The sequence below is a fragment of the Homo sapiens genome, chromosome 1 (genome assembly GCF_000001405.40).
Source record: "Homo sapiens chromosome 1, GRCh38.p14 Primary Assembly".
NCBI classification, from domain to species: domain Eukaryota; kingdom Metazoa; phylum Chordata; class Mammalia; order Primates; family Hominidae; genus Homo; species Homo sapiens.
In genome coordinates, this window is record NC_000001.11 from 119,183,904 (window position 1) to 119,198,802 (window position 14,899).

Sequence of the window (14,899 nt, forward strand, 5' to 3'; positions counted from 1 at the left end):
ATTTTGAGTTGACTTTTTTACAAAGTGTGAGATGAGGGTCTAGTTAATTTTTTTTTTTTGTAAATTGACAAATTATAGTTGTATATATTTATGGGGTACAAAGCAATGTTTTGGTTTATTAATACAATGTGGAATAATTAAATCTAGGTTGATATTAAATCAATAAAATTGACATCCATCACTTTAAATACTTATTTTTTTGTCATGAAACATTTGAAGTTTACTGTTTTAGTGATTTTGAATTGCACAGTACACTAGAATTAACTATATACGTCATGCTGATGTAATAGATTTCAAAAAACAAACACTTATTCCTCCTGTTCAACTGAGGCTTTGTACCTTTTGACAGTCATCTCCCATTCACCCAAACCCCTAGCCTCTGGTAGCCATCATTCTACTCTCTGCGTCTATAAATTTGATTGCTTTAGATTCCACATATAAGTGAGAACCTATGGTATTTGTCTTTGTGTGTCTGGCTTATTCCACTTAGCACAGTGTTCTCCAGTTCCATCCATGTTGTTGCAGATGACAAAATCTCTTTCTTTTTAGTTTCCATTATTTTATTTTATTTTATTTTATTTTATTTTATTTTATTTTATTTTATTTATATGTTTGTTATGTTATGTCATGTTATGTTATGTTATGTTTGTTATGTTATGTTATGTTATGTATGTTATGTTATTTTTTGAGACAGGGTCTTCTTGTTCCTTTGCCCTGGCTGGAGTGCAGTGACATGATCACAGCTCACTGCAGCCTTGACCTCCCAAGCTCAACTGTCCTTCTGCCTCAGCCTCCTGAGTAGCTGGGACTACAGATGGTTGCCACCACACCTGGCCAATTTTTTTATTTTTTGTAGAGCTGGGGGTCCCACTATGTTGCCATGCTGGTCTCAAACTCCTGGGCTCAAGTGATCCTCCCCCCTCAGCTTCTCAAAGTGCTGGGATTACAGATGTGAGCCCCTGCATCTGGCCAGCATTTCCTTTTAGTGTTCTATTGTGTACATATACTACATTTTCTCTGTCCATTAATCTATCAGTGGAAACTTAGGTTGGTTCCATAACTGCCAAGTGAATAATGCTGCAATGAACATGGGAGTGCAGACATCTCTTCAACATAAGATTTCAGATCTTTTGGGTTAATACCCAGAAGTGGGATTGCTGGATCATATGGTAATTCTATTTTTAGTTTTTTGAAGAATTTCCATACAGTTTTTCATAATGGCTGCAATAATTTATATCTCCACCGGGAACATACAAGGGTTATATTTTCTCCACATTCTCACCAACACTTATCTTTTGTCTTTTAATAATGGTCATCCTGACAAGTGTGACATGATAGCTCACTGTGGTTTTAATTTGCATTTTCCTAATGATTAGTGATGTTGAGCATTTTTCAATATACCTGTTTGCCTTCTTTTAAGAAATATCTATTTCTTTTAAGATATGTCTTCTTTGGAGAAATATCCATTCAGGTCCCTTGCCCATTTTTTTTTCTTTTTATTTACTTTCATTGTTTTCTTCAAAGGCATGATCATTAACTTTTGCCATTTTTCAACCCAATTATTTGTTTTCTTTTTAGAGTTATTTGAGTTCCTTATATATTTTAGATATTAACCATTTTTTCTAATGTATGAAGGTCTAATGTAATTATTCTGTCAGTAGATAGCCGGTTGTCCCAGCAGCATTTATTGAAGAGACTGTGCCTTCCCCATTGTTTGTTCTTAGCACCTTTGTCGAAAATTAAGTGACCGTAAATGTATGGATTTATTTCTGAGCTCTCTATTCTATTCCATTGGTGTGTCTGTTATTATGTCAGTACCATGCTGTTTTGATTACTAGAGATTTGTAGTAGATTTTGAAATCAGGTAATGTGATACCTGAAGCTTTGTTCTTTTTTATCAGGACTGCTTTGGCTATCAGGGTCTTTTGTGGTTCCAAGCAAATTTTAGGATTGTTTTTATATTTCTGTGAAAAATGTCATTGTAATTTGGCAAGGATTGCATTCAATCTGTAGATCACCTTGGGTAGTATGGACATTTTAACAATATTTTCCTAAACCATGAACACAAAATGTTTTTGCCTTCTTCAATCTTTGTCATCAATGTTATTCCTACACATTTTTTTTTTTTTTTTTTTTTGGTGACTATTGTAGTTGGGATTGTTTTCTTGATTTCTTTTTCAGATAGTTCATTGTTAGAACATGGAAATGCTACATTTTTTTATTGTTATTGATTTTGTATCCTGCAACTTTGCTGAAATTTTTTATTAGTGCCAACATTTTTGGTAGAGTCTTTAGAGTTTTCATGTCATCTGCAAACAGAGACAGTTTAACTTCTTCCTTTCCAATTTGAGGGCCTTTTTTTTTTTAAGGAAAATATTTGTGTCTTTTTATTTTCCTTTCCTTTTGTTTTTGGTTGACGTGTAATAATTGTAGATATTTATGGGATACAGAGTGATATTTTGATACATCTGTGTAATGATCAAATTAGAGTAATTAGCATATCCATCACCTCAAACACTTATTATTTCTTTGTTAGAAACCTTCAAAATCCTTTCTTCTAGCTTTTTGAAAATATACAATAAATTGTTAACTCTAATCACCCTACAGTACTATATAAAACTAGAATTTATCTAGTGTTACCCTATCTAGCTGTAATTTAGTATTCATTAACCTACCTCTCTATCCTCCCCTCCCCCATGCCCTACCCAGCCTCTAATAACTACAGTTTTACTCTCTACTTCTATGAGCTCAACCTTTTTTTTTAGCTCCCACATATGAGTAAGAACATGTGGTGTTTATCTTATTATGCCTGACTTATTTCACTTAACATGATATCATCCAGGCTTATTCATGTTCCCACAAATGACAAGATTTCATTCTTTTTTACAGCTGAATAGTATTCCACTGTACGTACGTATCACATTTTAAAAATCCATTCATTCATTTATGGACATTTGGTTTGACTCCATATCTTTGCTGTTGTAATAACAATAAACATGGGCATGCAGATTATCTCTTCAATATACTGATTTCCTTTCATTTGAATAAATATTCAGTGGCATTGCTGGATCATATGATAGCTGTAATTTTATTTTTTTGAAAAACCTCCATACTGTTTTTTCATAATGATTCTACAAATTTACATTTCCACCAAGAGTATATAAAAGTTCCATTTTCTCCACATCCTTTCCAATATTTGTTATTTTAAAATTTTTTTTATCATAGCCATTTTAACTGGAGTAGGATGATATCTCATTCCAGTTTTGATTTGCGTTTCTCTGATGATTACTGGTGTTGAGAATTTCTTTATATATGTGTTGGTAATTTGTATATCTTCTTTTGAGAAATGTCTATTCAGATCCTTTATCTACTTTTTAATGGGATTTTTGGGATTTTTTTTTGCTCTTGAGTTGTTTCAGTTTCTTATATGTTATGGATATTAGTCCCTTGTCACATAAATAGTTTGCAAATATTTTTTTTTCATTGTATACATTGTCTCTTCACTCTGCTATTTCCTTTCTTGTGCAGAAGCTTTTTAGTTTGATATAGTCCTATTTATCTGTTTTGTTTTAGTGGCCTATGCTTTTGAAGTGTTGCCCATAAAATCTTTGCCTACACCAATGTCCTAAAGCATTTCCTCTGTTTTCTCCTAGTATAATAGTTTTATAGTTTTGGGCCCTTTGTGTGCCTTTCATGTCTCTCTCTTGGCTAATTGTTTTGGCTAGGACTTCCAGTACTATGTTGAACAGGATCGGTGACAGTGAGCTTCCTTGTATTGTTCTTTTTTTTCTCTTTTCCTTTTTATTTATTTTTTATTATTTTTTTTTTCCAGTCAGGGTCTCACTTTGTCACTCAGGCTGGAATGCAGCATTGCGATCTTAGCTCATTGCAACCTCTGCCTCCTGGATTCAAGCAATCCTTCCACCTCAGCCTTTCGAGTAGCTGGGACTACAGGCATGTGCCACCATGCCCTGATAATTTTTGTACTTTTTGGTAGAGACAGGGTTTCACCATGTTGGCCAGGCTGGTCTCAAACTCCTGACCTCAAGTGATCCACCTGCCTCTGCCTCCCAAAGTGCTGAGATTACAGGTGTGAGCCATTGCGTCTGGCCCTTGTATTGTTCTTGATCTTAGAGGAAAAGCTTTCATCTTTTCACTGTTGATGAAAGCTATGGACTTTCATCAATATGATGTTAGCTATGGGCCTGTCATATGTGACCTTTATTATGTTAAGGTACATTCCTTTTATAAATAATTTGTGGAAAGTTTTTATTATGAAAGGATGTTGAATTTTGTTCAGTATCTTTTCTGCATCTATTGAGATTATCATATGGGTTTGTCTTTTATTCTGTTAAAGTTGTGTATTACATTTATTGATTTACATATGTTGAACCATCCTTGCATCCCAGTGATAAATCTCACTTGGTTATAGTGAATTATCCTTTTAATATGCTGTTGAATTTTGTTTGTTAGTATTTTGTTGAGGATTTTTGCATGTTTGTTCATCAGGGATATTGGCCTGTAATTTTCTTTTCTTACAGCAGTGCTCTTGTCTGGCTTTGGTATCAGGATAATGCTGGCCTTTCTTTCTTTTTTTTTTTTTTTAGATGGAGTTTTGCTCTTGTTGCCAGGCTGGCGTGCAATGGCGTGACCTCGGCTCACTGCAACCTCTGCCTCCTAGGTTCAAGTGATTTTCCTGCCTTAGCCTCCCAAGTAGCTGGGATTACAGGCATGCACCACCACACCTGGCTAATTTTTGTATTTTTAGTAGGACAGGGTTTCACCATGTTGGCCAGGCTGGTTTTGAACTCCTGACCTCAGATGATCCACCCACCTTGGGCTCCCAAAGTGCTGGGATTAAAGGATTGAGCCACTGCACCCAGCCAATGCTGGCCTTTCTTTGAGTGCTTTAAATATATTGCTACACTATCTTCTTGCTTGCATAGTATGTGACAGGAAATCTAAGTCATCTTTATTATTGTTTCTCTTTATGTGAAGTGTCATTTTTCTCAGGTTTCTTCTAAGATTTTCCTTTTATCACTAGTTTTAAGCAGTTTGATTATGGTGTATCCCCACGTTCTCATGTTTTCTTTCTTGTGCTTGGAGTCTATTGAATTTTTTGGATTTATGAGTTTATAGTTTTTTTTCAGATTCGGAAATATTTCAGCTATGATTTCTTCAAATATTTTGTAACTCCCTGCTTGCCTTCTTTCCTTTAGCAACTCCCATTACACATTACACACATATTTGGCTGCTTGAAGTTGTTCCATGGTTCAATGATGCTTTGTTTATTTTTTCTTGGTCTTTTTTTTTTTTAATCTTCTGTGCTTCGTTTTGGATAGTTTCTATTGCTATGTCTCCAAGTTCATTTATCTTTCCTTCTGTGATGTCTAATCAGATGTTTATCCCATCCAGTGTGTTTTTCATTTCATACATTTTAGTTTTCATCTGTTGAAGTTCATTTTTAAAAACATCTTATGTATCTTAATTTGTTAAATTTTTCTCTAAACTTTTGAACATATGGGATGTGTTCAAATATCATAACTGTGTTATCATAACTGTGTTACTCTTATTTATTAATGCTATAATCTATGTCATTTTAAAAGTATTTTTGATAAATTATTTTCTTCTCCTCAATGTCAGTTTGATTTTTCTGACTCTTTGTATGCCTGGTCATTTTTTTTTTTAGATGCACAACATTGTGATTTTTATCTTGAGAGATGCTGTATATTTTTGTTTTATTAAAAATATTCTTGCACTTTTTCTGGAGCGTGGTCAGGTTATTGAGAGATAATTGGATACTTTCGGGTCATGCTTTTACGCTTTGTTTGGCAGGACCAGAGCAACATTTACCCTAGGGTTAATTTTTTCTCACTACTGAGTCAAAATCCTTCATATTATTAACCTCAGCCCCATGAATTATGAGGTTTTACTCTCTGGATGATGAAAATAGCTACTATTCCTGGCCCTGTATGAGACGTGGGGTAGTTTGCTATTATCATTTGCCATGGTTTATTCCCTGGTCTCAGGTAGTTTCCTCTCACATGCTTCATCAGTTCTCAACGGAAACCTTGAAGGGGACCCTCTGCAAATCTCAGACACTCACTCTCCATGCACTTTCTTCTTTGGTTCTCTGCTCTGAGAACTCTAGCCATATTGGCTTACCTGGACTCCCAGCTCCATCTCCTCACCTCAGGGAGACCACTGGGCTCTACCTGTGTTGTCCTCTCTGTGTCATGACCGGAAACTCTTTTTAAAGAGTAAACTGGGAAATTCTGAAGTTTGCCTCATTTGTTTCCTTCACTCAGAGATCACTGTCCTTTATTGTTTATTTCCAATATCTTGAGAGCTCTAATTTTATATATTTGTCCAGGTTTTGTCCAGATATTTTGACGGGTTTTTTTTCAACTTTTATTTTAGATTCAGTGGGTACCTCTGCAGGTTTGTTATCTGGGTATATATTGTGTGATGCTAAGGTTTGGGGTACTAATGATCCTGACATCCAGCACTGAGCATAGTAAAAACTTGACAGTTTTTCAACCCTTCCCCTACTCCCTCCCTTCCCCCACTAGTAGTCCCCAGTGTCTATTGTTACCATCTCTATGTCCATGAGTACCCAATGTTTAGCTCCCTCTTATAAGTGAGAACATGTGGTATTTGGTTTTCAGTTCTCGTGTTAATTAGCTTAGGATGTCCAGGATTTTTTAGGTGTTTTATGCAAGAAGGTAAATCCAATTTCTATTACTCCATCTTGGCCGGAAGCATAAGTCCCACACTATTGCTTGTGGTTATTGTTGTTTTTACAGACAGGATCTCACTCTGCCACCCAGGCTCATGTGCAGTGGCACGATCATGGCTCACTGCAGCCTCAACCACCTGGGCTCAAGCAATTCTCTTGCTTCAGCCTCCTGAGGAGCTGGGACTGTGGGCATGCACCATTGTGCCTGGATAATTGTTTTAAATTTTTTTGTAGAGACAGAGTCTGGCTGTGTTGTCCAGGCTGATCTTGAACTCCTTGCCTCAAGTGATCTTCCTGCCTTGGCCTCTCAAATTGCTGGGAGTATAGGCATCAGCCACTGCATCCAGCAGACCACACTATTGTTTTTATGCATTTAAAAATATCCCCAGAGGCAAGTGCCAACTGTTCTGCTTTCCTGGACTTGAATAACTTTCAAGTTATCTCTCAGGTAATAATTACCATTTTTGTTAGTGCTGTGGTTACAAAGTTGAGTACGTTTATCCTCATTCTCTTTTAACATGAACTTTTATAGTAGGCAATGATTTTGAAGAATGCATATATTGTGGTATAGCAGCTATAGCCTGTACAATTAAAGAACCTGTGCAATTGAAATGTATGATTGGTATATACTTCAGGCAAAGTCAGAGAATACATAAAGACAGATCTTTAATAACATTTTAAAAAGTGAAACTAGATGGTTGTGTTACTGGAAAAGGATCCTGATCCAGACGCCAATAAAGGGTTCTTGAATCTCACACAGAAAGGATTCAAGGTGATTCCATGAATTGAAAACACCTTTATTAAGAAAGTGAAGGAATAAAGAATGGCTACTCCACAGGCAGAAGAGACCCGAGGGCTGCTGGCTGTCTACTTTTATGGTTATTTCCTGATTATATGCTAAATAAGGGTGGATTATTCGTGAGTTTTCCAGGAAAGGGGTGGGCAATTACCTGAACTGAAGGTTCCTCCCCTTTTTAGAACATATAGGGTAACTTCCTGATGTTGCCATGACATTTATAAACTGTCATGGCACTGGTGGGAGTGTCTTTTAGCATGCTAATACATTATAATTAACATATAATGAGCAGTGAGGACCACCAGAGGTCACTCTCATCGCCATCTTGGTTTTGGTGGGTTTTATCTGGCCTCTTTACCACAACCTGTTTTATCAGCAAGGTCTTTATGACCTGTATCTTGTGCTGACTTCCTGTTTCATCCTGTGACTTAGAATACCTAACCTCCTGGGAATGCAGCCCAGTAGATCTCAGCCTTAATTTACCCAGCCCCTATTCAAGATAGAGTTGCTCATGTTCAGATGCCTCTGACAGTCTGATCTTTGAAAGCAGGTTTCATTTTCTCTAAGTCATTGTACTTCCCTTTCCCATAGTGCCCAGCATATATATCCTCAAAAACTATTTTTTGTTTGGCTATAATAGACTTATTGGTAGACCAGGAATATATTTTTTTCATTATTATGATTAATATAACTATTATGGATTGATTGTGTACTATAAGTTAGGCAATCTGCCAGACACTTTGTATACAGTATCTAATTCAATCATCACTATTGCTTCTGTGATGGAACATAAACTCATCAAACTCCTGGCCTGATACCCCCAAATGTTAATGTATGGCTTTAGCTCTTTCAATATGTAACAGTAGCAACCATTGCTTTTATTTCTCTACCTTTAAAATTTTAGTCTTTTTTTATAGGTGAGGAAACGGATTCAGGGAAATTAAATAACATGCTCAAGATTCTACAACTAGTAACTGGTACTATTGGGATTCCAAACCCAGGTCTGTCTGATTCCAAAACTCAAGCACATTGTATTGCTTTGTCCTCTGTTACCATGAAACACAGCAAAGCTTAGTGATTATTTTCTCTGACGAACTCCTCCATTTAGTCTTTCATTATCTTAGAGGAGAGAATAAAAAGAAAATTGTTTTAGGGCAAGATAGTACTACAGGCATCAGGGTTGGTAGAGTAATTATGCATCTTGAGTTTTCTGAATTTACTCAGGGATCAGATTCAAGTCCAGGGTGATGTCCCCATGGCTGTTTTATACCTGAAGACCAGAAAAAGATTATGTTCAATAAGCACAATTGACTAAAAATATGCCCGAATCCCTTGTTTCCTTTAAAATAACCTTGACAAATTTCCATCAATAGAGATGTATTTGCTCCTCAAGAACACCCCAGTTATTTCAGTCCTGACAGCAAACTTGTTTGACTTGGAAACCCTTTACAGAGTTATGCAGGGGCTTCTCTTTGGAAAGGCCTAAACTAGATGAAATATTGAGCTTTGATCTCAAGTAATTTTCTAAATAATATTGTGGTATAAGCTGAAAAAGAGAGAATAAATTTATATTGCACATGTTACAATTTCCTACATGTTGCTTCCCTACAACCAGTAAGCCAGATTTCATATTACTTGGGGTTGGATCTGAGCAGGGACGGCCATGAGCAGGGGGCCTATCAGTGAAGGAAGTCAAGGTACATGAGCCCAGATTGTCCTCATAAGGAGAAAAGCAGCCTGGATTCGTAGACAGGGCCCAGAGTTGATCTGAATTACCTTCAGTCTCAGTCAAGATTTAGCATCAGGTCATTGGTGCCTATCACTGTGGCAATGAGGGATTATTTTTATTCAGTATTTTGTGTTTGTGCAAAGGCTTTCAGTCATTAATCATTTAACTCTTGTTCCCATGAGACTTTTGTAAAGTAAATGGGAAAGAAATAACACAATTCTTATTTTACAGATAGAGAAATAGAAGCCATGTTGTTTGTGGAGGTTACACACTGAAAGAGCTAAAGCCATGCATTAGAATTCAGGGAAACCAGGCCAGGAGACTGATGAGTTTTTGTTCCACCACAGAACTGAGGTTTTCTGTTTTTGCATTAAATGGACTTGCTTATTTTTCATTTTGAAAGCAACATGATAGATACTGAGGTGCGCTGAAGAAAAAATCAGACCTCACCTCCTTACATTATGTAGTCTGAAAATCCTGCTGAGTTCCCACAAAGTTTTTGGAATCCAAACATACATTTAAGTTTAAGTAGTAAAGATTTTAAAGCATTGCTGATCTTGATTTCTAATAAGAAAGAGAATACTGTATACGCAAATACATACAGTGTGGCTGTGAATAGCTAGTAATCAGTTACAAAGGAAGAGGATGGCATGGGGACTTGCCGCCTGGAATTAATCTGGTGGGCTTCCTGGAGGGAGTGTGTTTTGAATTTCAATTTAAAAAAATATTTCAAAGATCTTTTGGGCAAGATGAAATGTTTTTCCTGGTTCTTTCTATTAAGTGTAAACACTACATAAAACTTGGTAAATATCACAAGAAAGAGAAATTGCCAGATGGGTCCACAAGGACATATTTCAGAATAATGGAAAATAAATGAAGAAAAGTTTTCTGACAGTGAGTTCTTTCAGATCGGTTCATAATGAGGTATTTCAGGGGGCAGATGGGTGGAACAGTAGAGAGAATGGTCTTAGTGGAAGCCATTTGAATCAGACTGAATAAAGCAGAGAAAGTTCAAGTTTGGAATCAGCATAGAGCTATGGGGACAGGGAAATACAATTAGGGCTAGAGCTAGCTCACTTCCTTTGGCATAAGACAGATATTTCATTCAGATCCATTTAGAAGCTATATAACTGAAAGTCACAGCTTCTTTATTTGTAAAATAGTATAAACAAGGCCTACCTTATAAGCTGAGGAGTAAAATTTTTAAGTCTGAAAAATGCTTAGAAGGTACATGGCACCAAAGGCAAATCCAGGTTATATAGGGTTTGAATCTTATATAATATTGGAGGCTTTCTTTAAGAAAAAGAATACACAACTCTGGCTATAAAATTAGATAGTAAAGTGAATATATTTTACAGTAAGAAATCATAACAAATCAGCTGGGCTCGGTGGCTCACGCCTGTAATCCCAGCACTTTGGGAGGCTTAGGTGGGTGGATCGACTGAGGTCAGGAGTTCAAGACCAGCCTGGCCAACACAGTGAAACCCTGTCTCTAATAAAAATACAAAAAATTAGACAGGTGTGGTGGTGAGCAACTGTAATCCCAGCTACTTGGGAGGCTGAGGCAGGAAAATCACTTGAACCTGGGAGGCGGAGGTTGTGGTGAACAGTGAGCTAAGATTGCGGCATTGCACTCCAGCCTGGGCAACAAGAAAGAAACTCCATCTCAAAAAAATAATAATAAATAAATAAAATAAATAAATAACAAATCACTAATTCGAAAAGAAAGCTGACAAATATTGCAAAAATCACAAAATCCAGGAGAACAACATGCTGCTTTTATTAATTGTCTGAAATATTTCTATTGTATATATTGTATACTATATATATTACTTATATCTAATTATATATATTATATATAATATATAAAAATACAATTATATTATATATGATAATATATAATTAGATATAATTAAATATGTAATATATTACATGTAATACATAATAAATATATAAAATATAAAATTTAATATAAAATAAATAATAAATATATAATATATTACATATAATATATAAGAATATAATTCTATTATATTTAGTAATATATAATTAGATAATATATGAATATGTAATATATTCTATTATGTGGAATATATATAATTCTAATATATATAATGTAGTTGTACAGATTCTGATTGCTTCTTTATATGACAATTTTGTAATACCATATTGTATAGAGATAATAGAAACATGGTTCAACTTTCCTTTAGTATGATTATTAAAATTTGTGTTTTATTGTTGATAGTTTAGGGAAATTTTTTTCAATACCACATTTTGTTGCTTGCAACGTCATGTAAAATTTTACAATTGTCAAATTTGGGAAAACTTTTATCAAGATTTTACTTGTAAGAGTTGTAAGATTTAGATAACACTTCTATGACTAGTTTCTGGCTCTGTACATTTCAAATCTTATTTCTCCTCCACTATTCTCCTAATTTCAGGGCTGGGCATTGTGGGATGTATTCACATAACATCAGAATTCAACATAGGCTCAGCATCATAGGATGCCTGTCATCCCAACATGATGTCCCTTGGTCACCCAGCTCACTGGTGAGCAGTTGATGATAGAAGTGTTTATGGAATCCATTAATACAACCAGGTGGTTAGCAGTCAGCTCTACACAAAAGTGATGCCAACCATGTAATACATTTCATTCCACTCAAGCTAAGTATATCTTCAACCCAACTCTGATGCCACCCTACACAAAGGGAAATGTGACAGAGGGGAAATCAGGACAGTATTAACTAATTGGTGTTATATACTTTAATTTCGTAAACTTTATGAAAACATACAGCCATGCCTACATATTGATAAAGGCCCTACAAGGAACTTGGGAGAGGCTCATGGCATTAGCTTCAGGGTCAACTGCCTCTACATGTCATATCAGTGTGCTGAACAGTTCTTTCTCTCCAGACGGGCAATCCTTGCTCAGCATGAGCAAGATGGTGGTCATGATTTGGGGTTATGCATTCAGGAGACCCCCTGAAGGCAGCATCTCATCCAACCACAGAGATGAGATATGTCTCCTTCAGCAGTGGTGAATATAAATAAAATTGAGTTGTGGGGCTCTAAAGGTTCATATAAGGAGACCCTTTGTGCCCTTTTTGTTTTGCTGTACATTCTTTTCCCAACACTGACTGGTTAAAATTTGAGTTCAAAACTACTCTTTGAAATTGTTGTGATTTACCTGGCTCTGAACTCTTTCATCTTTCAGAAAATCTCTCGTAGGATTGCTATTATCCCCTTCCCCCCACACAAAAAAATGGTAGAGGTCAGCTGGTAAGCTGGTCAAACCTAACTCAGGGCCACTCCACATTGTCCTAGGCAGAGATACTTTTGGGGCTGGTGCAAGCAGCAGTTGGGAAACAGGGGCCTAGTGATGTAGTGGTCATTCTAGAAATGCAACCCCTCAGAAACGTGCTGCCCAGACTTTTGGATGAAGGGTAAAACAAATAAAGCTGCCGCCTATTGGAACGTACACTGGCTCCTTCCACATCTGCAGGACATTTAGCCCCTTGCATCTGGTAGTGTTTGTGCAAATATAATTCCATATTCACTAATAATTCCTGGGGCTAAAGGCCCCCCCTTGGGTAACCTTGTTAATATTCTCTCAAGGCCTGGTGTGAACGCCTCATAGCATTTTGATTAGAATTCAATCTTGTGTTTTTTTCCCTCTCAGGCTCTTTCTTCCTCTCTCCTCTCATGCTTTTCTGGCCCCTGATTTCCTGGCCACCCACATCAGGAGACATTCTCCCTCCCTTCCACTCTCCATTCTCAGTTTCAAGGAATTTCCTTGTTTCAAAGGCAAAGTGTGATTGACATATTTTTCCCCTCTTAAGAGCAGTCATCTCAGTTTTTGATTTAACCATCTCCTTATGGGGCTTACAGTCATTACCTGGGTGAAAGAGACCTCCTGCTCACCCTTAAGCACTAGCCTCAGACCTTGCAACTGGCACTTTTATAGACTTTTAAATTGCTGTTTTCCTTCCCTGTATTTTTTTTAACCTTTTATTGTGGAGGGGTTACGGGGGCACTAACACTTGATTCCCTGGTGAGTAGTACCTTGAGCTTTAAAGATTTTTAGTTATCTGCAAACAGGTAGATCAGCTGCCTCCTGTCAGTGCTCTCTATCTGCCAAGAAAGGCATTTACTGTTCTTCAGATCTGTGGATAAGAATGGATACTATAATGAGTTCTCTAGTTTTGAATTCACCAGCTCTGGGCAAGTTGCGAAGTTGTGCTTCTTTGGTTCCTTAGTCTTACTTGACCAGCTTATTTGTCTCTCAGAAAGAGAAAATAGAAAGCAAAAACAAAAGCAAACTAGCCATAGCAGAGGGAATTATATTTACGCCCAAGAAGAATTTCTTGGGAGTGAAGGTTCTTCATGCTGGAGTGTGGGATTCTGGAATGTATGTGCTCTCTTTCAGGGTCTGTGAAACAGGCCACCTTATCATGGCATTACTGCAGGTTTCTGCCTGAAGGGAATAAACTAGATGACCTTGGAAGGTCACTCACAGCTTTTTAATTCAGAAGGAATTCTCATCTTTTCTGCAAAAAGCTCCACTTCTCACAGTGTTAGAGCAGACCCTGTCTTAAGGAAATTACTCCTGTCTTTCCAGAAGCAGCCTGAGTCACATCTCACTGATTTACTTTCATGAATCTACATCTTCTGCTGCTGATTATGATATATTGCCTACTAAAAGCTCCCAACTGCAAGCAGCTCTATTGTAGTGCAAATAGTTAACTTTCTAAGGACCTTCGTGTGACCCCACCCCCAAATCCCATTGTTTCAGAAGATAACAAAGTGCTAGAAGATAGAGGCTTGGATTTACAATAATAATTTTTTTCCCTGCTGGAATTTCAGCAATAGCGGTAGCTTTAATAAAAAGCTGTAAGTCAACAACAAGAAAAACTTCAGAAACGTTATAAATACATGGAAATTAAACAACATGCCCCTAAATAACCATTGGGTTAATAAAGAAATAAAAAGGGAAATTTAAAAAATTTCTTGAGATGAATGAGAATGGAAATACATCATACCAAAACCTGTGGAGCACAGCAAAAGCAGTTCTAAAAGGGAAGTTTATAGTAATAAATGCCCGTATCAAAGAAGAAAGATTTCTAATAAAAAACCTAGTGATGCACCTCAGGGAACTAGAGAAACAATAACAAACTAAACCCAAGATTGGTAGAAGGAAAGAAATACTAAAGCTCAGAGCAGAAATAAATCAGAGACTAAAAAAATAATAAATGAAAGGATCAATAAAATGAAGTTTTGTTTTTTGAAAAGATAAAATAGATAAACTTTTAGCTAGACTAAGAAAAAATATTAAATAAAATCAGAATGAAAAAGGATACATTACAATTCATACCACAGAAATTAAAAAGATTATAAGACAGTATTATGAACAACAACCATACACCAACAAATCTGATAATGTACAAGAAATGGATCAATTCCTGGAAGCATACAACCTACCATGATTAAATAATAAAAAATAGAAATATGAACACAGCGATAAGTAGTGAGTAAATTGAGTCAGGAATAAAACGTTTTCCATCAAAGAAAAAACCAAGACCTGAAAACTTCACTGCTGAATTCTACCAAACACTTAAAGAACTAATACTGACCCTCG

General features: G+C 36.3%; 1 long non-coding RNA gene across 2 annotated transcripts in view; it reads left to right on the forward strand.

Moving 5' to 3' along the window:
- Positions 1-14,899, forward strand: part of WARS2-AS1 (WARS2 antisense RNA 1) — a 135,578-nt gene that overhangs the window by 43,508 nt on the left and 77,171 nt on the right. The gene's annotated exons all lie outside the window — the stretch shown is intronic.